Genomic DNA, 26,259 nt, shown 5'->3' with positions numbered 1-26,259 from the left:
GGTGATTTTAATTTTGATCACCAAGTCAAGGTTATTTGATTTCTCCAATCTAGAGTTACTATTTTTCCCTTGTAACAAGTAATCTATGAGGAGGTATTTTATAACCATGACTATATCCTATTCCACATCAAAAGTTAAATAGATGAGATTTAACACCTATTGATGATTCTTGCCTAAGAATCACGATGGTTACAGAATAGTAACTCAACCCCAGGACTCCCTCCACATTTATTAGTCAACACTTGGCATTCTTCTGTCCACTTATTTTAGATTCACTATTCATAGGGACTCTTGGATTTCTATTATTTTCCAATAAATTTTATAATTAGTTATTAATCTTAATTATTTTGGTGCTCAGATTGTCCCAGATTTGGCCGCTGGAAGCTCCTTAAAACTACAAGCCTGGATTTCATCCCAGCTTCAGTGTAGTGGCATGATTCAGTTTACGGATAAGATCACCGTGACTACTGTATGAGAATGCACTTATAGGGGCACACATGAGGAAGCAGGGAGACCCTCGTGTAGTCCAGGTGGGAGATGTGGCTTAGATTAGGGTTGTGACATACATGGGGAGGGAATGGATGGAGGTAAGAGAAACATTGGAAGCCAAGTGCTGTGGCTCACGTCTGTAATCCCAACACTTTGGGAGGCCAAGGCAGGAGGATCGCTTGAGGCCAGGAGTTTGAGACCTGCCTGGGCAACATAGCAACACCCTGTCTCTTAAAAAAAAAAAGTAAGAATTGGCTGGGCGCGGTGGCTCACACTTGTAATCCCAGCACTTTGGGAGGCCAAGGCAGGCGGATCACGAGGTCAGGAGTTCGAGACCACGGTGAAACCCCGTCTCTACTAAAAATACAAAAAATTAGCCGGGCATGGTGGCGGGCGCCTGTAGTCCCAGCTACTCGGAGAGGCTGAGGCAGGAGATGGCGTGAACCCGGGAGGTGGAGCTTGCAGTGAGCCGAGATCGAGCCACTACACTCCAGCCTGGGTGACAGAGCGAGACTCCGTCTCAAAAAAAAAAAAAAAAAGTAAGAATTAGCCAGGCATGGTGCTGTGCACCTATAGTCCTAGCTATTCGGAAGGCTGAGGTGGGAGGATCACTTGAGCCCAGGAGTTTGAGGCTCCAGTGAGCCATGATTGTGCCACTGCACTCCAGCCTCAGTAACAGAGTAAGACCCTGTCTCTAAAATAAAATAAAAACATTGGAGGTAGAATCAGCAGGATTTAGTGGTGGATTGAACGCACAGTCAGAAAGGGCAGAGTTGAGAGCCACCGGAGCATCCGGGGGAATGGTGATGTTGACTTAATACAGGGAAGACAAGCAGAGTAAGGGGTTGGGTGGTGGTGGGGGGAGGTGTTAGATTCGTTGAGTTTGAGGGGTCTGGAATATCCAGTGTTCTCTGGCACCCAAGTGAAGGGGTCAGTGAGACAACTATACTCTGGAGCTGACACAGAAGTCCAGACCAGAAGTAAACTTAAGGCCACGAATCCATGGTCTTGGATGAATCATGTTGTAAGGGGAGAATGTGGACTGAGATGGGAGTGCACTGTTTGGGGGTGCAGGGGTGTATGGCCAGAATTTGCAGTGGAGAGGTAGGTGGGGACCAGGGCACATGGCGCCTGGAGTGTCAGGCCAAATGCTTAGCGCTGGGGAGCCCACTGAAGAGTCTTGGGCAGAGCAGTGAATGACAGGTGTGATTGGCGTTTCAGCAGGACTGTTCTGACAGCCAGTACAGATGATCTGGGGGGGGCTGTGGCAGTGGCTGATGCTGTTGTCCTTTCTGAAGTAAATCTGCTCATCTCTTGCCCCTGGAGGTGGCTCAGGCGGGTCGCCATGCCTGAATGCCCTCTCCTTGTTCATCTGGGTGCAAAAACGATGATTAAAACACCTGTCTCAACTGCACTCACCAGCCCCCGGTGATGTGATAGCAAACCCATGTCTCCCTGCCTCATTGTGGCCAGAGCTATACAACCTGCTCCTTTACCAGCCCCTGGTGATGTGACAGCAAACCCATGTCTCCCTGCCTCATTGTAGCTAGAGCTATACAACCTGCTCCCGGGACCTTTTCCCAGCCAGGTATAACACAGCAGGTGTGAGTGTGCACAGGTTGGTCCCCAAGGCTTGCTGGAGTCTGTTTGGGCACCATAATCCTCTGCCCTGGCATGCTTTGAGTTCACTGTGGTCTCTGTCATTCCGGCCAGTGCTCATTCAAACCTGTATATTGTCCCCTCCCACCCCGCACAGCCCATAGAGGGTGGGTTCAAGTCGGAATGAACATCCTGGGGTGCAGGCATCCAGGAAGTATGCAGTCCTGCCTATGGGGTGCTGACAGCCCCTTGGCAGGACACAGATAACCAAAGGCAGAAATTGTAAGAGACCAGAGGGAGGGGCAGGTGCTCTGGGAGCCCAGGAAAGGCCAGAGTGTTTCTGGTTGGAGAAATCAGGGTCGGTCCTCAGAGAAGATGGCGTTTGAACTGGGACTTGAGGAGAAGACTATTTTCCATTTCACACAAGAAATCTTTGATTATTCAGTAAAAAGAGGAAATATAAGAAAAAAAATCAGACTAGTCTGGCCAACATGGTCTAAAAATACAAAATTAGCCAGGCATGGTGGCGGGCGCCTGTAATCCCAGCTACTTGGGAGGCCCAAGCAGGAGAATCGCTTAAACTCGGGAGGCGGAGGTTGCAGTGAGCCGAGATCATGCCACTGCACTCCAGCCTGGCAGACAGAGCAAGACTCCATCTCAAAAAAAAGTAAAAAAAAAAAAAAGAAAAAAAAGGCCGGGTGCAGTGGCTCATGCCTGTAATCCCAGCACTTTGGGAGGCCGAGGTGGGTGGATCATGAGGTCAGAAACTCGAGACCAGCCTGGCCAATATGGTGAAACCCTGTTTTTACTAAAACTACAAAAATTAGCCGGGTGTGGTGGCAGGTGTCTGTAATCCCAGCTACTCCGGAGGCTGAGGCAGGAGAATCACTTGAACTCGGGAGGCGGAGTTTGCAGTGAGCTGAGGTAGCGCCAGTGCACTCCAGCCTGGACGACAGAGCGAGACTTCATCTCAAAAAAAAAAAAAAAAAAAAAAGGAAAAAGAAAAACAATCAAAGCCCCACTTCCTCATATTTTATTGACATTGTCAACACAGCCATTATAGGTTGCATAACAATCTATTAGGTGGATCCTGCATAGTTAGTCCTCTTATTGTTGGACTAATTCATTCCAGGCCTCAGGACATGGGCTTCCAGCCTGTGGCTGGGCAATGGGGCCAGATGCAACTCAGGAATCAGTGCTTGAGTCCATCTGCTCATTTTCTTCCACTCATAATGTCTATTAAGAACTCAATGCCTACCGGGCCCTGTGGATCCAATGAGTATCAGGACATGGTTCCTGTCCTGTCAAGTCTACTAGTAAGTGAGTCATAAGTGAAAAGAATTAGTTGTAGAGAAACCTGTAGAGTGCCACAATCAAGGCACAGGATGTTCAAGATGCGGTGATGACACAGACACAGGAGCTTCAGCCCTGGGAACAGGAGAGGACACCAGGCGGGGCTCGAGGAGTGAGAGGGGACAGGCCTGATGACACACGCCAGGGGACCAAGCCCGCGGGGATGCCTCCAAGCGTGTCTCTGTCCACAGGCAGAAAACTCATCCCACCACCTCTCAGGCCTCTGAGTGTTTGCTTTTTCTGTTTTCTATTTCAAATATTCCATTTCTCCCATTTTTGGAGGAACTGTTTTTATACTACTTTCCAAAATCCCAACTTGCAAGCATGCTTAATTCGTTTCATTTTTCTTCTATTTTTGACACTAAAAGCATTTAATGCTGTTTTTACCTCTGCATATAGCTTTGGCTGTTAATCCTACTTTTTAAATTATTTTCTAAATCGTCTGTTTTTTAATTTTTTTAACTCTTGATTTACATCTTGTCCTAAGGATAATTTGAGGTGCTACTTACGTTTCAAAATTTCTAAGTGGTATGTTTTACATTATTGTTAGTTGTATTGCATTTTGATCTGAGAATGGTTTCTAGAATTTCTACTTTTCAAAATTTACCAAAATATTCTTTGTAGCTTAATAATTATTTAATTTTGTCCACTGTCCATGAAACTTGAAAAGAAGGTGTACTGTTTGTTTTCAGGGTAAGAAATTTATATGTTCATATTTTCTATGTCCTTATTTATTTTTTGATTATTTGTTCAGAAAATGTGTTAGAATATTTCCAATAAAACTGTTTCTCATGTTTTTCCTTGTATTGTTATATATTTTATTTCACAGTTCTTTGTTGTTTATTTAACATAAGAAAAAAAAAAAGGCTGGGCGTGGTGGCTCATGCCTGTAATCCCAGCACTTTGGGAGGCGGAGGTGGGCGGATCACAAGGTCAAGAGCTCGAGACTATCCTGGCCAACATGATGAAACCCCATCTCTACTAAAAATACAAAAATTAGCCGGGTGTGGTGGTGCATGTCTGTAATCCCAGCTACTCAGGAGGCTGAGGCAGGAGAATCGCTTGAACCCAGGAGGCAGAGGTTGCAGTGAGCTGAGATCTCGCCATTGCACTCCTGCCTGGGCAACAGAGCAAGACTCCATCTCAAAAAAAAAAAAAAATTAAACCCATTCGAGGCTGGGCCCAGTGGCTCACACCTGTGATCCCAGCACTTGGGAGGCCGAAGTGGGCAGATCTCTCGAGCTCAGAAGTTTGAGACCAGCCTGGGCAACATGACGAAACCCCTTCTCTAACAAAAAATACAAAAATTAGCCAGACAGGGTGGCATGTGCCTATAGTCCCAGCTACTTGGGAAGCTGAGTGGGAGGATCACTGGAGCCCGGGAGGGAGAGGTTGCAGTGAGCTGAGATCACACCACAGCGCTCCAGCCTGAGCGACAAGAGCGAGACTCCATCTAAAAAAAAAAAAAAAAAAAATTAGGGCTGGGCGCAGTGGCTCACGCCCATAATCCCAACACTTTAGGAGGCCGAGGTGGGCAGATCACGAGGTCAGGAGATTTAGACCATCCTGGCTAACACAGTGAAACCCCGTCTCTACTAAAAATACAAAAAATGGCCGGGCACGGTGGCTCACACCTGTAATCCCAGCACTTTGGGAGGCTGAGGTGGGCGGATCACGAGGTCAGGAGATCGAGACCATCCTGGCTAACACGGTGAAAACCCATCTCTACTAAAAATACAAAAAAATTAGCCGGGCTTGGTGGCGGGTGCCTGTAGTCCCAGCTACTAGGGAGGCTGAGGCAGGAGAATGGTGTGAACCCGGGAGGCGGAGCTTGTAGTGAGCCAAGCTCGTGCCACTGCACTCCAGCCTGGGCAACAGTGCAAGACTCCATCTCAAAAAAAATAAAAATTAAAAATATAGGCCGATTCTTCCTCGTGCTTGGCATTGAGCTCCCGCAGCCGAGCCTGGGTCATGCCTGCCCTGCCCGGCCCCGGGTGCACACTGCAGCCCCTGCAACACGGGAGGCTGCTAAGCGTGAGTGGCGGTGTCCAGCAGGCGCTGTGTGGCAGGGAGGGCATCCATGGCTGCAGCCAACAACGGCAACAAGCCCAGAGTCCGGAGGAGTATCTGCTTTGCGGCAGGCCACGATACAGAGGGCTCCCATGTTGCTGTCGGTTGCTACAGGTGTGAACGAAGGGGGATGAATGCAGAAATGAAGACCAAGACAAAAAGATCTGTTTTGAAAGAAGGGGTCAGGGGGCTCCTTGCTTCTAGTGAACAAGGGCAGCCCTGAGCTTCCACAGCCCTTCGTATTTATTAGGTAGAAAGAGCAGGGAGGGAGAGGTAACGGTTGGTCAGTTGCTTGATTTATCACAGGTACACATAATTGCTTTCTTTGTACAACAGGCTTCAGATGTTCCTATAGGTAATCACAAGGAACACTGCGCTTGGGGCGTGACTGCTCTCAGCACTCCCTCTGTGGGCAGATGCAGCCCTCAGTTTTCCAACATCCTGCTTTCATGAGAACAGTTTTCTGTTTACTCATATAGCCTCCAGTGGTATACTGAGTTGGTCACGACCCACATTTTCTCGACCTGTAATACTCCCAGAGCCACGTCTGCTTTGATGAGAGGCTTCATGACTCGGTGGTCATGGCCACCCAGGACAGCGACAGCAGCTTTCTGGTCAAGGTTGGCTTCCTGAAGATCCTGCGCAGGTATGAGATTACCTTCACTCTTCCCCCGCCCAGTGAGCAAGCACGTCCGTGAGGCACCTGTTCCCAGCCTCTGCATGTCAAGCTCCTCAGCGTTGTTCCTGTCCCTGAAGGTTACAGTGTCAAGTGCGAGTACTCAGCGCACAAAGAGGGTGTCCTCAAAGCCGCGATGCTGCCAGCCTGCGAAGGTGGCGCCGGCGCCTGTGTGAGCGTGGCAGTGCAGGCTGGCGCCAGGGGCCGACACCACGGCATGCCCACCTGCTGGACGGTGTCAAGGGCTCGGGCGCCGCGCTGGAATAAGACTCGCAGCACAGCCACTGGCACGGCTTTGACTGAGGCCGGAGGCCCTGCCCGCCCCGAGCCCTCAGCCTTAAACCCCGCCTGGTCCCCGTGACACGCTGCGTGATGGTGGCTTCCTCGGCCCTCTCCGGGGTGGGCGTGGGGTGGAGTGGCCCTGGCCAGCCTCCCACCTCTGCCTTCATTCCTGCCACCACCGTGCCTCTCCCGTCCTCCTCTTCCACTTCCTCCTCTCCGTGTGCCTCAGGCTCCTGCCAGAAGACATTGGTTGAGCCCACAAGGAGACTGTCTGGGGAAGGGATGGGGAGGGCCTGGGGTGGGTTCTCCCCACTGCCCACCCCAACCCACAGGAGCTCCAGCTAGGGTCTGGGGGAGGATGGAGCTTGCTCTGTGACGTCGTGGCCCCATCACTGCTGCTGCTGCCTGGCGTCAGCCACCTCTCCTGCTCCTCTCTCTTCTCCTCTGCTGTCCACAATGAGTAGGAGGGAGGTGCAGTCCCCACCTCTCACCCCTCAGGTCTGTGTTACTTGGTTTTTAAGTGACTGATTGGGATAGAACCCTAAAGAAATAAAACTTCCAGTGGATACGAAATTATATATATATATGCCCATATGTGTATATATATATATGCCCATGTGTGTGTGTGTGTGTGTATATATATATATATATATATATGCCCATATGTGTGTGTGTGTGTGTATGTATATATATATATATATATATATATATATATATATATATATGCCCATATGTATATATATGGGCATGGTGGCTCATGCCTGTAATTCCAGCACTTTGGAAGGCCAAGACAGGAGGATCACTTGAGACCAGGAGATCAAGACCAGCCTGGTCAACAGAGCAAGACCCCATAAGACCCCATCTCTATCTACAAAAATAAAAATAAAAAATAAAAAGAAATTAAAAATATATTAACAAATTAAAAACAATAAATAGAATTTCTTTATCTGATGGAAAGGATATATATTTTTTAAAAACTAGGCCGGGTACAATGGCTCACACCTGTAATCCCTGCACTTTGGGAGGCCAAGGCGGGCAGATCACAAGGTCAAGAGCTTGAAAGCATCCTGGCGAACATGGTGAAATGCTGTCTTTACTAAAAATACAAAAATTAGCTGGGGGTGGTGGCACGCACCTGTAGTCCCAGCTACTCGGGAGGCTGAGGCAGGAGAATCACTTGAACCACAGAGGCGGAGGTTGCAGTGAGCTGAGATCACGCCACTGCATTCCAGCCTAGGTGATAGAGTGAGACTCCATCTCAAAAAAAATAATAAAAACCCAAAAAACTAACTACTACAACTAATAAATGAATTTAGCTCTGTCTAGGATACAAGTTCAATATACAAAAATCAGTTGCAGTTTTTCAGCTGTAAATTTTGTGTACCATTAGTGACAACTGGAAAATAAAATGTAAGGGATTTCCATTCTTATTATTCTTATTCAACAAAGTGCTGGAAGATCTAGCCAGTGCAAGAGGGCAAGAGAAGAAAATAAAAGGCATGCAGATTGGAAAGGAAGAAATAAAACTCACTATTTGGAGATGACATGATTGTCTACAGAGAAAATATGAAGGAATCTACCAAAAAACTCCTGGAACTAATGAGTTCAGCAAGGTCTCAGTGTACAAGACATAGATTGGAAATATCAATTACATTTCTATACGCTAACAATGAACAGGTGGACACTGAAATGAAAAATATAATATGTGCCAGGCATGGTGTCGCACACATGTAATCCCAGCACTTTGGGAGGCCGAGGCGGGCAGATCGCTTGAGGTCAGGAGTTTGAGACCAGCCTGACCAATATAGTGAAACCTCATCTCTACTAAAAATACAAACATTGGCCGGGCGTGGTGGCTGGGCGTGGTGGCTCACTCCTGTAATCCCAACATTTTGGGAGGCCAAGGTGGGCAGACCACCTGAGGTCAGGAGTTCAAGACTAGCCTGGCCAACATGGCAAAACTCCATCTCTACTAAAAATGCAAAAATTAGCCAGGTGTGGTGGCACATGCCTGTAGTCCCAGCTACTTGGGAGGCACAAGAATTTCTAGAACCCAGGAGGTGGAGGTTGCAGTGAGCTGAGATCGCCCCACTGCACTGTAGCCTGGCTAAACTGTCTCCAAAAAAAAAGAAAAGAAAAGAAAAGAAAAGAAATAAAAATATAATATGACTTACAGTCTCTCAAAACAAGAAAAAGGAAATATGTAAGTGTAAATCTAATAAAATATGTATAGGACTTCTATGCTGAAAAGTACACAACACTAATAAAAGAAATCAAAGATCTGTATAAATGGAGAGACATACTACGTTCATGGATCAGAAGACTCACTATAGTAAAGATATTAATTCTCCCCCAAATTGTTATACAAGTTTAATAAAATGTCTATTAAAATCCCAGCAAGGTTTCCTTGTGGGTTTTGTGTTGGTTTGTTTGTTTTTATTTTTTAAATTTATGTATTTATTTATTTATTTTTAGATGGAGTCTCCCTCTGTCACCCAGGCTGGAGTACAGTGGCGCAATCTCAGCTCACTACAACCTCCGCCTCCCGGGTTCAGGCAGTTCTCCTGCCTCAGCCTCCTGAGTAGCTGGGGTTACAGGCACCCGCCACTACATGTGGCTAATTTTTGTATTTTTAGTAGAGACGGGGTTTCACCATGTTGGTCAGGCTGGTCTCGAACTCCTGACCTTGTGATCCGCCTACCTCAGCCTCCCAAAGTGCTGGGATTACAGGCATGAGCCATCGCGACAAGCCTTGTTTTTGTTTTTTAGACAGAGTATTGCTCTGTTGCCCAGGCTGGAGTGCAGTGGTGAGATCTCGGCTCACTGCAACCTCCGCCTCCCGGGTTCAAGCAATTCTCCTGCCTCAGCCTTCCAAGTAACTGGGATTACAGGCGTATACCACCACGCCCAGCTAATTTTTGTATTTTTAGTAGAGACAGGGTTTTGCCATGTTGCCCAGGCTGCTATCGAACTCCTGGCATCAAGGGATCAGCCCACTTCAGCCTCTCCAAGTGTTGGGATTACAGGCGTGAACCACTGCACCCAGCCCCAGCGAGATTTCTTTGTAAATATAGACAAGATTATTCTAAAATTTATATGAAAAGGAGAGGAAACTAGAATAGCTAAAACAATTTTGAAAAAGAAGAATAAAATAAAAAGAATCATCACTAGATTAAAAACTTATTATATAGCTAGAGTAATCAAGACTCTATTGGCAGAAGAATAAATCACTGGAACAGAATAGAGAGCCTAGAAGCAGACCCATATATATATTTCCAACTGATTTCTTACAAAGTTGCAAAAGCAGCCAGGTGCAGTGGCTCATGCCTGGAATCCCAGCACTTTGGGAGGCTGAGCCGGGTGGATCGCCTGAAGTCAGGAGTTCGAGACCAGCCTGGCCAACATAGTGAAACCCTGTCTCTACTAAAAATACAAAAAATTAGCTAGGTGTAGTGGTGGGTGCCTACTTGGGAGCTACTTGGGAGGCTGAGGCAGAAGCTTGAACTTGGGAGGCGGAGGTTGCAGTGAGCCGAGATCGTGCCACTGCACTCCAGCCTGGGTGACAGAGCGAGACTCCGTCTACAAAAAATAAAAATAAAATACAAAAAAATGGCCGGGTGCAGTGGCTCACACCTGTAATCCCAGCACTTTGGGAGGCCAAGGCAGGCAGATCACATGAGGTCAGGAGTCGGAGACCAGCCTGACCAACATGGAGAAACCCTGTCTCTACTAAATATACAAAATTAGCCGGGCATGGTGGCACATGCCTGTAATCCCAGCTACTTAGCAGGCTGAGGCGGGAGAATCACTTGAACCCAGGAGGCGCAGGCTGCAGTGAGCCGAGATTGCACCATTGCACTCCAGCCTGGGCAACAAGAGCGAAACTCTGTCTCAAAAAAAAAAAAAAAAAAAAATTAGCCGGGCATGGTGGTGCCTGTCTGTGGTCCCAGCTGCTTGGGAGGCTGAGACAGGAGAATTGCTTGAACCTGGGAGGCAGAGGTTGTAGTGAGCCGAGATCTCACCACTGCACTCCATCCAGGGTGACAGATGAGACTCCATCTCAAAAACAAACAAACAAACCAACAAACCAACAAAACAAAATTAAAAAACCAAAGGCAATTCAGTGGTGCTTTTCAACAGGTGGTGTTAGAGTAATTAGACATCCATAGACAAAAACACAAAACCCTAAAAACCCGTACACAAAAATTAACTCCAAATGAGTTACAAACTTAAATGTAAAATGTAAAAACTATAAAACTTTCAGAAAAAAACAGAAGAGTATCTTAAGGTTCTAATGTTATACAGAGTTCTTGATACCTAAAGCATAATTCATAAAAGGAAAAAGTGACACATTGAACTTAATCCAAATTTAAAACTTTCTGAAACATAGGCTGAGGCACCAGAATCACTTGAGCCCGGGAGGTGGAGGTTGCAGTGAGCTAAGATCACTCCACTGCACTCTAGCCTGGGCAACACAGCGAGACCCTGTCTCAAAAGAAAAAAAACCCCACAACTTTCTGAAACAGCTTTATTGAGATATAATTCACATACCATATAATTCACCCATCTAAAGTGCACAATTCAATGGGTTTTTGTTTACTATATTAACTTTTTTTTTTTTTAGATGGAGTCTTGCTCTGTCGCCCAGGCTGGAGTGCAGTGGCACAATCTCGGCTCACTGCAAGCTCCACCTCCCAGGTTCACGCCATTCTCCTGCCTCAGCCTCCCAAGTAGCTGAGACTACAGGAGTCCACCACCATGCCGGCTAATTTTTTTGTATTTTTAGTAGAGACAGGGTTTCACCGTGTTAGCCAGGATGGTCTCAATCTCCTGACCTTGTGATTCGCCCGCCTCGGCCTCCCAAAGTGCTGGGATTACAGGCGTGAGCCACCGTGCCCGGCTAATTTTTTTTTTTAATGGAGTTTCACTCTTGTTGCCCAGGCTGGAGTGCAATGGCACGATCTCAGCTCACCACAACCAATGACTCCTGGGTTCAAGCCATTCTCCTGCCTCAGCTTCCCGAGTAGCTGGGATTACAGGTGTGCACCACCACACCCAGCTAATTTTTGTATTTTAGTAAAGACGGGTTTTCTCCATGTTGGTCAGGCTCGTCTTGAACTCCCAACCTCAGGTGATCTGCCTGCCTCAGCCTCCCAAAGTGCTGGGATTACAGGCATGAGCCACCATGCCTGGCCTACTATATTATTACTTTTTAAAAACTGTGATAAAACCGGTCAAGCATGGTGTCTCATGCCGGTAATCCCAGCACTTTGGGAGGCTGAGGCAGGCAGATCACTTGAGCTCAGGAGTTTGAAACCAGCCTGGGCAATGTGGCAAAACCCCATCTCTAAAACACAAGCAAACAAACAAAAATTAGCCAAGCGTGGGCCAGGCGTGGTGGCTCATGCTTGTAATCCCAGCACTTTGAGAGGCCGAGGCAGGCGGATCACCTGAGGTGAGTTTGAGACCAGCCTGGCCAACATGGCGAAAACCTATCTCTACTAAAAACACAAAAATTAGGCCAGGTGTGGTGGCTCACACCTGTAATCCCAGCACTTTGGGAGGCCAAGGCGGGCGGATCACCTGAGGTCAAGAGTTCGAGACCAGACTGACCAACATGGAGAAACCCCGTCTCTACTAAAAATACAAAAATTAGCTGGTGTGATGGCACATGCCTGTAATCCCAGCTACTCGGGAGGCTGAGGCAGAAGAATCGCTTGAACCCAGGAGGCGGAGGTTGTGGTGAGTTGAAATCGCGCCACTGCACTCCAGCCTGGGCAACAAGAGCAAAATTCCATCTCAAAACAAAAAAAGAAGTGTAACTAACAACATCAGGTGGTGGGACTCGGACATTTTTGGACCCCCCATACCTTCACCCACACCTCGGAGAGCAGATGTTTTGAATTGGAAACATCGAATTTTCAGTCCACCTAGAGTAAGCCCTTTGTCGGCTCAGCTTCTTGAACGTATGCATTTCATGCTCACCACATCCAAACTGTAAGGCTCCATCCAACCAACCAACCAAAATCCCTGTCCTGGACGGGAGCGGTGGCTCCCGCCGGTAATCCCAGCACTTTGGGAGGCCGAGGCGGGCGGATCACTTTAGACCATCTTGGCCAGCATGATGAAACCCCATATCTACTACAAATGCAAAATTTAGCTGGGTGTGGCGGTGCACACCTGTACAGCTACTTGGGAGGCTGAGTTGGGAGAATCGCTTGAACCCGGGAGGCAGAGGCTTCAGTGAGCAGATCATACTACACTGCAGCGTGGGTGATTAAGTCAGACTCTGTGAAAAGAAAGAAAAAGAAAGGAAAGAAAGAAAGGGAAGGAGGGAAGGAGGGAGGGAAGGAAGGAAGGAAAAAACCTCCCTGTCCTTTTGGCCCTGAAGGGACCTTCGCTTTCCAAAGGGCTATGGCAAGAAGGGTGGGTCGCAGCCACGTCACCGGCGGGAGGGTCGGCAAGGACGGTTGCTAGGTCGCCGCACAGCTTCCGCCGCGGAGAGAACCAAAGGACTGGGAGGAGAAGTGAACGCCCGCCCCATCCACGGTGCGGCCTGGGATTGGCTCACCGTTGTAAAGCCATGCCCCCAACCCGGGCAGCGCCGCGGCCACCCGCCCGGTTCCGAAACGGACCAGCAGGGGGCGGCCTGCACGTCCTGGCCGTGGCTCCTGCCCGTGGAGGCGACCCCAGCGGCCCAGACAACTAAGACCCGTGTTGCGTAATCTCCCCGGCCCCGCCCAGGGAGAGGTGCCTCTGCCCCCGGGGACCCTGGCGAACGCACGTTCCCCTGTTGATCATTCAGGCTGCACTGTGGACCCGGAAGTCTGGGTCCAGATCCAGCGAATTCGGAGAATCCTCAGCGGCCCCTCGTCTAAGCCGCAGCAAAAAAAGGGATTGGACTCACTGGACCACCTCCAAGGAGCCTGTCCAGTCTGACAGGCCCTATTTCTCATGGAAGACCCTGGGCTTCTCTGGCCTGAAGTTGAGAGCTGGCCCTGGCTCTGGCATTCCCTCTCTGAGTGGCCTTGGGCAAGTTATAGCCTATTTCTGAGCTTGTTTCCTCATCCTATTGTTAAGTCCTATGAGGGTTAGATGTCCTCAAAGGTCCCTTCCAGTTCTTAGCCATGAAACAGACTTGATAACATGTGGAAATCTCTGACATGTTAAATCTCTGACACGTAAATCTCTGACATGTTATGCTATTTAGCCACCTTCACCTTCTTTTCTTTTTTTTTGAGACTGAGTCTCGCTCTGTCGCCCAGGGTGGATTGCAGTGGTGCGATCTCAGCTCACTGCAACCTCCACCTCATGGGTTCAAGCGATTCTCCTGCCTCAGCCTCCTGAGTAGCTGGAATTATAGGCATGCACCACCACATCCAGCTAATTTTTGTATTTTTAGTAGAGACGGTGTTTCACCGCGTTGGTCAGGCTGGTCTTGAACTCCTGACTTCAGGTATCCACCCACCTCGGCCTCCCAAAGTGCTGGGATTACAGGCATGAGCCACTGTGCCTGGCCCTCTTTTCTTTTTTTTTTAATACAGGGTCTCACTCTGTCGCCCAGGCTGGAGTGCAGTGGCACAATCCTAGTTGGCTGCAGCCTCCAACTCCTGGGCTCAAGCAATCCTCCCGCCTCAGCCTCCCAAGTAGCTGGAACCACAGGCACACACCACAATGCCCGGCTTTTTTTTTTGGAGAGACGGGGTCTCACTATGGTGCCCAGCCCCACCTTCACTTTCTGTACACAAAAATTCTAGAAAAGGAGGGGAAAGGCTGGGTTGGCACCTAAAAATAAAATAGGGACTGTCAACAGATCCCTGAAAGAGTGCCTGCCTGCACTAAGGGGATGATGCTGGAGAGGATAATGGAATGTCCATTGTACTCTAACCCCCTCATTTTGCAGATGAGGAAACTTTGACAGCAGCTAAGTCACATTAGGAGGAAAAACCCAGGTTTTCTGATTTCATAATCAGTTCCTTTACAAAGTGTTAGGAAATAGAAGGCATAAATATGTTAAAACAGAGAAAGAAAATTATCCACAGGAATAAAAGCAAACAATTTAATTTGTAGCACTTCCCACTTTGGTGTACTTAGGATTTCTATCCTGCCTACATTCGTGGTGACTTACAAAGCAAAAATAGAGCAATAAAAAATAAAACAGAAGTGAGTTATCTCTCTCTTCTGCTTTTTCATCTATCACCACTGCCCCATTGTCCCCTCCAGAAGAGCTTCTAACCCCTACCCTAATGTTCCAAACTGACCTTTGTAATCTTTTTTTTTTTTTTTTTTTTTGAGGCAGTCCCAGCTACTCAGGATGCTGAGGGGGTGAAAATTGCTTGAGCCCAGGAGTTTGAGACCAGCTTGGGCAACACAGCAAAACTCCATCCAGCACTTTGGGAGGCCGAGGCAGGTGGATCACTTGAGGCCAGGAGTTGGAAACCAGCCTGGTCAACATGGTGAAACCCCATCTTTACTAAAAATACAAAAAATTTGTCAGGCGCAGTGGCTCATGCCTATAATCCCAGCACTTTGGGAGGCTGAGGCGGGCAGATCACCTGAGGTCAAGAGTTTTGTACTAAAATACAAAAATTAGCTGAGTGTGGTGGCAGGTGCCTGTAATCCCAGCTACTAGGAAGACTGAGGCAGGAGAACTGCTTGAACCCAGGAGGTGGAGGTTGCAGTGGGCCGAGATTGCACCACTGCACTCTAGCCTGGGCAACAGACTGAGACTCTGTCTCAAAAAAAAAAAAAAAAAAAAATTAGCTGGGCGTGGTGGCATGCACCTGTAATTCCAGCTACTTGGGAGGCTGAGGCAGGAGAATCACTTGAACCCAGTAGGTGGAGGTTGCAGTGAGCCGAGATCGCACCATTGCACTGAAGCCCAGGTGACAGAGCGAGCCTCTGTCTTAAAAAAACAAAAACAAAACAAAAAAAAAACTAGATGAAGTGTATGATATGTGAATTACATCTCAATAAAGCTGTTACATCAAAAGAGGCACACCAAAAAGTAAAACAAAACCAACCAATATGTGCCTGTGTTTCTTCCCTAGGTTCTGTGTGGCTACATCCTTTCACTCTGGGGAGATCTGGGGTGCGGTTCTCGGCCATCTGCTCCTGCAGATGTCTTCCAAATCTCCAAGTGTGTCCCCCCACAGCGTCCCCATCTCCCACTCAGCCACCACTTTACACTCTACCCAGCTCCACTCGGTGGAAGGAAGCATGCCAGCTCCCCTGATCTCCTGCACGCCCGCCTTGGCTGCCACCTAATTTCTTGGCTACCCAGGATGGAGTTGGGATAGAGAAGGGGAGAACAGAAAAGGCAGAAGACAGGTGAGTCTTGCTGGAGATTGGAAAAGGGAGAAACTTCCTAGAGCAAACTAGATAAGAACAAAAGACAACTTTGAAAAGGAAAAGATTCCTTAATATTTTGTTATATTTTTCCCTTCTGGACTTCAAGTGTTTGAGTAGCTTTTTTCATGGCTGTCTTACTTCTGGAAGTGATTTTGGAGGGAGCATAATTTTATTTTATTTTTTTTGAGATGGAGTCTCACTCTGTTGCTCAGGCTGGAGTGCAGTGGCATGATCTCGGCTCACTGCAACCTCTGCCTCCCGGGTTCAAGCTATTCTCCTGCCTCGGCCTCCCAAGTAGCTGGGACTACAGGTGCGTGCCACCATGCCCGGCTAAGTTTTTGTATTTTCAGTAGAGACAGGGTTTCACCCTGTTAGCCAGGATGGTCTCCATCTCCTGAACTCATGATCCGCCCGCTTTGGCCTCCCAAAGTGCTGGGATTACAGGTGTGAGCCACTTCACCTGGCTGGGAGCATCATTTTAATAGTTTATTTACACAGCTGTGAATTAAACATCTACTTCCTTTTTTTTTTTTTTTTTTTTGCTTTGTTTTTGAGACAGGGTCTCACTATGTCACCCAGGCTGGAGTGCAATGGCACAATCTCAGCTCACTGCAACCTCTGCCTCCTGGGGATAAGTAATCCTCGCACCTCAGCCTCCCAATTAGCTGGGACCACAAGAGCACATCATCATGCCTGGCTATTTTTTTTTGTACTTTTAGTAGAGACGGGGGTCTCACTATGTTGCCCGGGCTGATCTCAAACTCCTGAGCTCAAGCAATCCACCTGTCTTGGCCTCCCAAAGTGCTGGGATTACAGGCATGAGCCACCGTGCCTGGCCTAAACATCTACTTTCTTTATGACTTTATTAAAAGTCCACCTTCGGCTGGGCTCAGTGGCTCACCCCTGTAATCCCAGCACTTTGGGAGGCCGAGGCAGGTGGATCACCTGAGGTCAGAAGTTCGAGACCAGCCTGACCAACATGTTGAAACCCCATCTCTACTAAAAATACAAAAATTAGCCGGGTGTGGTGGCACATGCCTGTAATCCTAGCTACTTGGAAGGCTGAGGCAGGAGAATCACTTGAACCCGGGACACAGAGGTTGCAGTGAGCTGAGATCATGCCACTGCATCCCAGACTGGGCGACACAGCGAGACTCTGCCTTAAAAAAATAAAATAGCCGGGCGCGGTGGCTCACGCCTGTAATCCCAGCACTTTGGGGGGCCGAGGTGGGCGGATCACGAGGTCAGGAGATCGAGACCATCCTGGCTAACACGGTGAAACCCCGTCTCTACTAAAAATACAAAAAATTAGCTGGGCGTGGTGGCGGATGCCTGTAATGCCAGCTACTTGGGAGGCTGGGGCAGAGAACTGCTTGAACCCAGGAGGCGGAGGTTGCAGTGAGCCGAGACCGTGCCACTGCACTCCAGCCTGGCGACAAAGTGAGACTCTGTCTCAAATAAATAAATAAATAAATAAAATAAAATAAAATAAAATAAAATAAGGCTTGGCATGGTGGCTCACATCTGTAATCCCCAGAACTTTTTTTTTTTTTGAGACAGAGTCTTGCCCTGTTACCCAGGCGGGAGTGCAATGGCACGATCTCGGCTCACTGCAACCTCTGCCTCCTGGGTTCAAGCTATTCTCCTGCCTCAGCCTCCTGAGTAGCTGGGATTACAGGTGTATGCCTCCACGCCCAGCTAATTTTTGTATTTTCAGTAGAGATGGGGTTTCACCATGTTGGCTAGACTGGTCTCAAACTCCTGACCTCGTGATCCACCCTCCTCAGCCTCCCAAAGTGCTGGAATTACAAGCATGAGCCACTGCACCTGGCCCTTGTAATCCCAGAACTTTAGGAGGCAGAGGTGGGTGGATCACCTGAGGTCAGGAGTGCAAGGCCAGCCTGGCCAACATTGTGAAACCCCATCTCTACTAAAAATACGAAAATTAGCTGGGCATGGTGGTGTGTACCTTCAATCCCAGCTAGTCAGGATGCTGAGAGGCAGGAGGATCGCTTGAACCCAGGAGGCAGAGGTTGCAGTGAGCCGAGATCATGCCACTACACTCCAGCCTGAGTGACAGAACGAGACTCTGTCTCAAAAAAATAAAATAAAATAAAAATTTAAAAAGTCCACCTTCTCAGAGAAGTCTCTACTGGCCCACCTATCCAAAATTTCAACATCTTCCCTGACCCCACTTTATTTTTCTCATTATTTTCTTTGTTATCTGTCTTTCTTAACAGAATTTAATCTCTAGTAAGGGTAGCAATTTTTGTTTTTAATTTTTACCTGTTTTGTTCACAACTACAGTGGTCACGAGAGCCCAGAGTAAATGCTCTGTAAGTATTTACTTATTGAATGAATGAATGAATGAACCTACTGTATACTGGGCAATTTTGTGATAAAGGAAAGTCTTGTTTTGTTTAGACAGGCTCTTGCTCTTTCTCCCAGGCTGGAGTACAGTGGTACAATCACAGCTCACTGCAGCCTTGAACTCTTGGGCTCAAGTGATCCTCCCACCTCAGCTTCCAGAGTAGCTGGGACTACAGGCGTGTGTCACCATGCCCAGCTAATTTTTTTTTTTTTTTTTTTTTTTTTGTAGAGACAGGGTCTCACTATGTTGCCTAGGCTGGTCTTGAACTCGTGGGCTCAAGTGATCTGCCTGCCTTGGCCTCCCAAAGTGCTGGGATTACGGGCATGAGCCACCACGCCCAGCCTGGAAAGTCTTAAAATAATTTTGTAAACCTGACAGATTTATGGCTGGGAGGCAAGGGAGATAAAGAGGCCAATTTTTCACTTGTGTGGACACATCTAAAATAACTCTGGGTACAAGGAGAGAACATCTAGAATGACGCTTGGACAGTGAGAGACTAGGGCCATGGACCCACAACTCATACATTAACAGTTTCTTTGACTGGCTTATTTCATGGAGACACAGAAGACAGGGTGAATGCTAGACAACTCTCTGACTACCAGGACTGCCTTCTGATCCAAGCTCAGTGTCATTTTAAATTTTGCAAAACTGGCTGGGCGCAGTGGCTCACGCCTGTAATCCCAGCCCTTTGGGAGGCCGAGGCAGGCGGATCACCTGAGGTCAGGAGTTCGAGACCAGCCTGCCCAACATGGCGAAACCCCGTCTCTACTAAAAATACAAAAAATTAGCCAGGCGAGGTGGTGGGCATCTGTAATCCCAGCTACTCAGGAGGCTGAGGCAGGAGAATTGCCTGAACCCGGGAGGCAGAGGTTGCATTGAGCCAACATCGCGCCGCTGCACTCCAGCCTGGGCAACAACAGAGAAACTCTGTCTAAAAAAAAAAAAAAAAAAAAAGTGCAAAATTACATAGCATTTTAAGCTTCACTTCCCTCTTCTGTAAAATATGATGACAACACTTTCCTATGTGTAAGGATTCAGTAAGATAAAATGTGAAAGTGGCTGGGAACTGCAGCTCATGCCTGTAATCCCAGGACTTTGGGAGGCTGAGGTGGGAAGATCACTTGAAGTCAGGAGTTTGAGACCAGCCTGGGTAACAGAGCGAGACCCTGTCTCTACAAAAAATTAATTAATTAATTTTTTTTGAGACAGGGTCTCACTCTGTTGCCCAGGCTGGAGTGCAGTGGTGCGATCTTAGCTCACTGCAACCTCTACGTCCTGGATTCAAGCGATTCTCCTGCCTTAGCCTCCTGAGTAGCTGGGACTACAGGCATGTGCCACCCAACCTGGCTAATTTTTTTGTATTTTTAGTAGAGACGGGGTTTCACCATGTTGGCCAGGCTGGTCTCGAACTCCTGACCTCAAGCTATCCACCCACCTCAGCCTCTCAAAGTGCTGGGATTACAGGCTTCAGCAACCCGGCCCAGCCAAAAAATTAATTAAAAAAAACAAAACAAAACAAACAAAAAAAAACAAAAACCAGGCCGGGCGTGGGGCTCATGCCTGTAATCCCAGCACTTTGGGAGGCCGAGGTGGGTGGATCACGAGCTCAGGAGATAGAGACCATCCTGGCTAACACGGTGAAACCCCGTCTCTACTAAAAAAATACAAAAAAATTAGCCGGGCGCGGTGGCGGGCGCCTGTAGTCCCAGCTACTCGGGAGGCTGAGGCAGGAGAATGGTGTGAACCCGGGAGGCGGAGCGTGCAGTGAGTGGAGATGGCGCCACTGTACTCCAGCCTGGGTGACAGAGCGAGACTCTGTCTCAAAAACAAAACAAAAACCCAGATGTGGTGGCATGTGTCCATGGTCCTAGCTACTTGGGAGGCTGAGGCAGAAGATTGCTTGAGCCCAGGAGTTTGAGGCTACAGTAAGCTATGATCACACCACTGCATTCCAGCCTGGGGGAAAGAATGAGGCCCTATCTCTAAAAAAAAAAAAAGAAAGAAAGAAAGAAAAGAAAAGAAAAAAGAAAAAGAAAAAAATGTGAAAGCATCTGTCGTTCTCTGGCACACACTAGGTGCTTGATGCCTTTGATGCCTATCAATTTCCCTCTCTGTCCTTTCTTTGGGAAACTACTTCTCCCAATATAACTTCAAGAGTTTGAAGTTGTATTTTTTTTTTTTTTTAATTGAGACGGAGTCTTGCTCTGTCGCCGAGGCTGGAGCGATCTCGGCTCACTGCAAGCTCCGCCTCCCGGGTTCACGCCATTCTCCTGCCTCAGCCTCCGGAGTAGCTGGGACTACAGGCGCCCGCCACTACGCCCGACTAATTTTTTTGTATTTTCAGTAGAGACGAGGTTTCACCGTGTTAGCCAGGATGGTCTCGATCTCCTGACCTCGTGATCCCCCCGCCTCGGCCTCCCAAAGTGCTAGAATTACAGGCATAAGCCACCATGCCCAGCTAATTTTTGTATTTTTAGTAGAGATGAAGTTTCGTCATTTGGCCAGGCTGGTCTCGAGCTCCTGACCTCAAGTGATCCGCCTGCCTCAGCCTCCCAAAGTGCTGGGATAACAGGCTTTAGCCATCGCGCCTGGCCATTGGCTCCAATAAAAAAAAGAAAAAGAAAAAGAAAAGAAACACTCTTTGCCAGTTGAAACACATTTCCCAGTTGCATCTGCCAATCTGTGACCTCTACTTAGGGAACCAAGATAGATCAGGTTAGAGAGGTAGGCTTGAGCCAGGTTTCAAATCCTCTTGAGAGGTGGGCTTGAGCCAGGTTTCAAATCGTCTTGAATGCCAAGCTGAGTTTTGACTTGAACTCACAGGCAGTGAGTAAATCACTAAAAGGTATTTTTGGAACGAGGGGTGGCCTGAGGCAAGGATTTGGGGACTCCTTGTAGTGGAGTTTCACGTGAAATAAAAGGGAGAGGCAGGCAAGGTTGCAGGTTGTTGCAACGACACAGGTTTGCGGCAGTACGGCTGAGGGAGGGCTGGAAAGACGGGTTGGATGGAAAAGATGAAGCATAAAAGTATGGTCAAGGGAGGACGAGGGAAGCGGACGGAAAGCAGGAGAGAAAAACTGAGGTTCCGATTTGATTGAGAATGAACCCTCTCTCGGGAGGAGGGGCCAGGTAGTTTAGTTTGGTGCTGGTAGTGCTGAGTTTGAGAAGCTGACCCCAAAATCTGGTCTTGACCGCAACACGGAGTGGGGCCTGAGCTCCTCGGTGCAGCCCCAGCTCCGCTACTCGCTGCTGAACGACCTTGGACGAGCCCATGTCTAAATCAGACTTGATAAAGGAGTCGCCTCTAAGGAGGAACTGGGATCCCCTCCTTCCCAGGCTGGTGCTCGGGAGGGTGGAGGATGGAAGGAGCGGGTCCTTCCCCCAGGGAGCTCGGGGTCTACAGCAGGGCGGGGAAGCGGCCCTTCCAGAAGAGGCAGGAGAGGGTCGCTCCCTCGGCCAGCCTCGGGCCGCCTGGGCTTTACTGGGAAAAGCAGCCGAGGTCCTGGAAGAGTCGCGCCCCGCGGCCCCCGAGGAGAGCCGCGGCCCTCTCCTTGCCTCCCCAGCGCCTGATTCTCCCTTGCTGGAATTCGGGAGTCAGGGATGCCTTTGGGGAATCCCTTCCCCTCCTTCGGTCCTCGGCACTGCCTCTGAGCTCGGAGGCCCCGGTCGCCTGGGCCCGGACGCCGGCCCGGACGCCAGCCCGGGAAGCAGCAGGTCAGGAGCGGGAGCCGGAGCCAAAGCTGGACCCAGGCCGGAAGTGCGGCGCCCTCCGTGGGCCTCTCTAGGAGCGGAGGCGACCGCGTCTCAGTGGGAATAACCCCTTCAGCTCCGGGAGGCCGTCGCCGCGTGAGGTGTTCGCTCGCTTTCCTCCTGAGAAGGGCCGAATGATGGCCGCTAGTCACTCTGGGGACATTTGGAGGATTGAATGCCTGTAACCGCGCAGGGCCCACGGCCTGGGTTTCCATCCCCGATCCGCCTCATGGCTGAGCTCCTCGGACAAGTTATTCAACCTCTCTGAGTCACAGCTTTCTTCCTTGCAAGGGGTTGCTGTAAGGATTCCATGAATTAATGCATGTGCAGCACTCAGAAGAGAGGCTGGACCCCGCGTGGTGGCGCGCGCCTGTGATCCCAGCACTGGGAGGCCAAGGCGGGAGGATAGCGTGAGCCCAGAGGCTTGAGGCTGCAGTGAGCTATGATCACGCCACTGCATTGCAGCCTGGGTGACAGTGAGACACTGTCTGGAGGGGAAACAAAAAAGCTATATATCATTTTTTTCCATTATTTATACTCTGCTATAAAAGAACTTTTGGTGGAGGGTCACGTTTGAGACATGAGAATAAGAAACATGATAAAAATGATAGTAATAACTGCTATTTACTGAGAGCCTTCTGTGTGCTAGGTTCCTTACACACCTTATCTCTATAACCTCAGGGCAATTCTGTGAAGGGAATGTTAATATTATTCCCATTTTATGGATTAAGAAACGGGTTAGGCCAGGCGTGGTGGCTCACGCCTGTAATCCCAGCACTTTGGGAGGCCGAGGCAGGTGGATTACAAGGTCGGGAGTTCAAGACCAGCCTGGCCAACGTGATGAAACCCCCTCTCTACTGAAAGTATAAAAATTAGCCGGGTGTGGTGGCGGGCGCCTGTAATCCCAGCTACTTGGGAGGCTGAGGCAGGAGAATCGCTTGAACCCAGGGGGCAGAGGTTGCAGTGAGCCGAGATCACACCACTGCACTCCAGCCTGGGCGACAGAGTGAGGCTCCGTCTTAAAAAACAACAACAACAATAAACGGGTTAATGGCCAGGTGCGGTGGCTCATGCCTATAATCCCAGCACTTTGGGAAGCCGAGGTGGGCGGATCACGAGGTCAGGAGTTTGAGACAAGCCTAGCTAACATAGTGAAACCCCATCTCTACTAAAACTACAAAAATTAGCCAGGCATGGTGGCACGCAGCTGTAGTCCCAGCTACTCGGGAGGCTGAGGCAGGAGAATCGCTTGAACCCGGGAGGCAGAGGTTGTGGTGAGCCGAGATCTCGCCACTGCATTCCAGCCTGGGCAACAAAGCAAGACTCCGTATCAAAAAAAAAAAAAAAAAAAATCAGTCACAGTGGCTCATGCCTGTAATCCTAGCACTTTGGGAGGCCGAGGAAGGTGGATCACTTGAGTTCAGGAGTCTGAGACCAGCCTGGCCAACGTGGTGAAACCCTGTCTCTACTAAAAATAAAAAAATTAGCGGGGTGTGGTGGCAGGCGCCTGTAATCCCAGCTGCTCGGGAGGCTGAGGCACGAGAATCACTTGAAACCAGAAGGCGGAGGTTTCAGTGAGCCGACATTGTGCCACTGGACTCCAGCCTGGGTGACAAGAGCGAAACTGTCTCAAAAAAAAAAAAAAAAAAAAAAAACAGGGCCGGGTGTGGTGGCTCACGCCTGTAATCCCAGCACTTTGAGAAGCGAAGGTGGGTGGATCACAAGGTCACGAGTTCAAGACCAGCCTGGCCGAGATGGTGAAACCTCGTCTTTACTAAAAAAAAAAAAAATAGAAAAATTAGCTGGGCATGGTGGCAGACACTTGTAATCCCAGCTACTCGGGAGGCTGAGGCAGGAGAATTGCTTGAACCCAGTGGGCAGAGGCTGCAGTGAGCCGAGGTCATGCCACTGCACTCCAGCCTGGGTGACAGAGTGAGACTCCATCTCCAAAAAACAAAAAGAAAGAAAGAAACAGGTTAATAACTGAGTATATGTCAGAGTCTGATTTGAACTCAAAACTGCCTGATTCCAGAGTGCACAATGCACGATTTTCCCTCTCCTCTGCACTGAATCTCCATTTGGGAAACTTTTTCTGGGAATTCCAAACTAAAGCATCAAACTTGGACATCTAGTTAGTTCAGAGCTGTGCTAAATCACCTAATTCCTACAACAGGATGAAAATCAATCATGAACGGTGCTGCCCCAGAACAGACACCAACTTCATTTAAAAAAGAGCTCACGCCTGTAATCCCAGCACTTTGGGAGGCAAAGGAGGGAGGATTGCTTCAGCCCAGGAGTTCCAGACCAGCCTAGGCAACATAAGGAGACTCAGTCACTACAAAGAGGGGGGAAAAGAAAAAAAAGCCAGCTGTTTTGGCCTGCACCTGTGGTCCCAACTACTCAGGAAGCTGAGGTGGGAGGATCACCTGAGCCCAGGAGGTTGAGGCTACAGTGAGCTATAGTCATGCCACCACACTCCACCCTTGGTGACAGAGTGAAACCCTGTCTAAAAAAAAAAAAAGAAGAAGAAGAAGAAGAGGATCTTGTGACCTTGAAAAGAAGCAAGTTTTAGACAAAGACAGAAAGCTGAAAGGCACTGAGTGTGTGTTTTCAGGATAAAATAAAACCATGCTCTTACGTGCAAGAACAATTACCATCCGGCCTCCCCTTTCATACAGCCCGTGGAGACTTGGAAGAACAGACCTTCCCGCGCAGCCTTTCTTCCTGCTTCCACTGCTCAATGGCTCTCTGGGCAGATTCCACTCCAGTGTTTAGTACTAAAGTCTCCAGCATTTAGTACTACCAGCTCCAGCGTTTAGTACTAAAGGCTCATAGAGTTTGTGGAGGCCTGGAGGAAATAGCCTGTCTTGTCTTCCTTTCATTCCCTCTGGAGCTTGAACCCTAGAGACTTAGCAACTAGACAGTCATGGAGGAGGGCAGGCCAGAAAGTAGGGAGAGCCTGGGGTGAGGACTTTCTCACGGCCGTGCCCTTGGCCATGCTGCTGGCTCTGCCTGGTGTAAGCTTGGAGGGGCAGGGCACTGTCCATCTCATCAGCTCTGCATCCTAACCCTGAGAACAGTGTGGGGCTTTTTCAAGAGGACTCTACAGGTTGTAGTTTAGTCAGGACTGGAACCCAGATTCCTTACCTGCTGGCTGAGGTCTTCACGTTGCATCAGATTCTCTCTGGTGGCCGGGTGTGGTGGTTCACGCCTGTAATCCCAGCACTTTGGGAGGCTGAGGTGGGCAGATCATCTGAGGTCAGGAGTTCGTGACCAGCCTGGCCAACATGGTGAAACCCCGTCTCTACTAAAAATACAAAATCGCAGAGCGTGGTAGCGAGCGCCTGTAATCCCAGATACTCCAGAGGCTGAGGCGGGAGAATCACTTGAACCTGGGAGGCAGAGGTTACAGTGAGCTGAGGACACACCATTGCACTCCAGCCTGGGCAAAAAGAGCGAAACTCCATCTCAAAAAAAAAAAAAATTATCTCGTGTACATGGGCCAGGGTAGCAAATGTCTCATAGAAGGTACACAAGGGTACCAAGAGGAGTACGGCACATCCCTGGATTCAAAGACCATGCACATTTTTTTCTTTTTTTAGAAAAAGACAGGGTCTCACTCTGTCCCCCAGGCTGGAGTGCAGTGGTGGGTCACTGCAGTCTTGACTTTCCAGGCTGAAGCAATCCTCCAACCTCAGCCTCCCAAGTAACTGGGACCACAGGTACCTGCCACCATGTCTGGCTAATTTTTGTATTTTTTAATAGAGACAGGGTCTCACTATGTTGCCCAGGCTGGTCTTGAACACCTGGGCCCAAGCAATCCTCCTACCTCAGCCTCTCAAACTGCTGGAATTACAGGTGTGGGCTACTGTGCCCGGCTGACCATGCACACTTTTCTCTAGCCAGGAAAATCATGCCTGTACAATACAGGGGATATGTTTTCTAACAAGATTTATATTTTTCTGGCTGGGCGCGGTGGTTCATGCCTGTAATCCCAGCACTTTGGGAGGCCGAGGCGGGCAGATCACTTGAGGTCAGGAATTTGAGACCAGCCTGACCAACATGATGAAACCCCATGTCTACTAAAAATACAAAAAAACTAGCTGAGTGTGGTGGCGCACACCTGTAGTCCCAACTACTCAGGAGGCTGAGGCAGGAGAATTGCTTAAACCAGGATACAGAGGTTGCAGTGAGCCGGGAGCAAGCCACTGCACTCCAGCCTGGGTGACAGAGGGATACCCTTTCTCTCTCTAAAAAAAAGAAATGAAAAGAAAAAAAAAGTGTGCATGGTCTTTGAATCTAGGACATGCCATACTCC

General features: G+C 48.8%; 1 long non-coding RNA gene and 1 pseudogene across 1 annotated transcript, besides 7 other annotated features; one reads left to right on the top strand and one right to left on the bottom strand.

Moving 5' to 3' along the window:
• Positions 1–5,674: 5,674 nt before the first annotated feature.
• On the bottom strand, positions 5,675–25,199 carry LOC124903679 (uncharacterized). The gene is made up of 2 exons (XR_007065052.1): positions 25,089–25,199; positions 5,675–6,702 (listed from the first exon to the last, which is right to left on the bottom strand). It is a non-coding gene; the product is annotated as an uncharacterized LOC124903679 (long non-coding RNA).
• On the top strand, positions 6,045–6,686 carry ADISSPP2 (ADISSP pseudogene 2; annotated as a pseudogene).
• Positions 12,935–13,264: a silencer, noted in NCBI's record as "silent region_7396". NCBI's record gives its function as "represses an Ori minimal core promoter by ATAC-STARR-seq in GM12878 lymphoblastoid cells {active_cell/tissue: GM12878}" and the evidence as "EXISTENCE:reporter gene assay evidence [ECO:0000049][PMID:35858748]".
• Positions 13,285–13,434: an enhancer, noted in NCBI's record as "active region_10729". NCBI's record gives its function as "activates an Ori minimal core promoter by ATAC-STARR-seq in GM12878 lymphoblastoid cells {active_cell/tissue: GM12878}" and the evidence as "EXISTENCE:reporter gene assay evidence [ECO:0000049][PMID:35858748]".
• Positions 13,285–13,859: a biological region, named in NCBI's record as "H3K27ac-H3K4me1 hESC enhancer GRCh37_chr16:30825021-30825575".
• Positions 13,305–13,859: an enhancer, noted in NCBI's record as "H3K27ac-H3K4me1 hESC enhancer chr16:30825021-30825575 (GRCh37/hg19 assembly coordinates)". NCBI's record gives its function as "activates a minimal SCP1, AML or CMV promoter by ChIP-STARR-seq in naive H9 embryonic stem cells {active_cell/tissue: H9 hESC(naive)}" and the evidence as "EXISTENCE:reporter gene assay evidence [ECO:0000049][PMID:30033119]".
• Positions 13,860–14,415: an enhancer, noted in NCBI's record as "H3K27ac-H3K4me1 hESC enhancer chr16:30824465-30825020 (GRCh37/hg19 assembly coordinates)". NCBI's record gives its function as "activates a minimal SCP1, AML or CMV promoter by ChIP-STARR-seq in naive H9 embryonic stem cells {active_cell/tissue: H9 hESC(naive)}" and the evidence as "EXISTENCE:reporter gene assay evidence [ECO:0000049][PMID:30033119]".
• Positions 21,822–21,911: a silencer, noted in NCBI's record as "silent region_7395". NCBI's record gives its function as "represses an Ori minimal core promoter by ATAC-STARR-seq in GM12878 lymphoblastoid cells {active_cell/tissue: GM12878}" and the evidence as "EXISTENCE:reporter gene assay evidence [ECO:0000049][PMID:35858748]".
• Positions 22,052–22,111: a silencer, noted in NCBI's record as "silent region_7394". NCBI's record gives its function as "represses an Ori minimal core promoter by ATAC-STARR-seq in GM12878 lymphoblastoid cells {active_cell/tissue: GM12878}" and the evidence as "EXISTENCE:reporter gene assay evidence [ECO:0000049][PMID:35858748]".
• Positions 25,200–26,259: the final 1,060 nt, after the last annotated feature.

The sequence above is a fragment of the Homo sapiens genome, chromosome 16, assembly GCF_000001405.40.
Source record: "Homo sapiens chromosome 16, GRCh38.p14 Primary Assembly".
NCBI lineage: Eukaryota > Metazoa > Chordata > Mammalia > Primates > Hominidae > Homo > Homo sapiens.
This window is presented reverse-complemented; position numbering and strand designations above follow the sequence as displayed.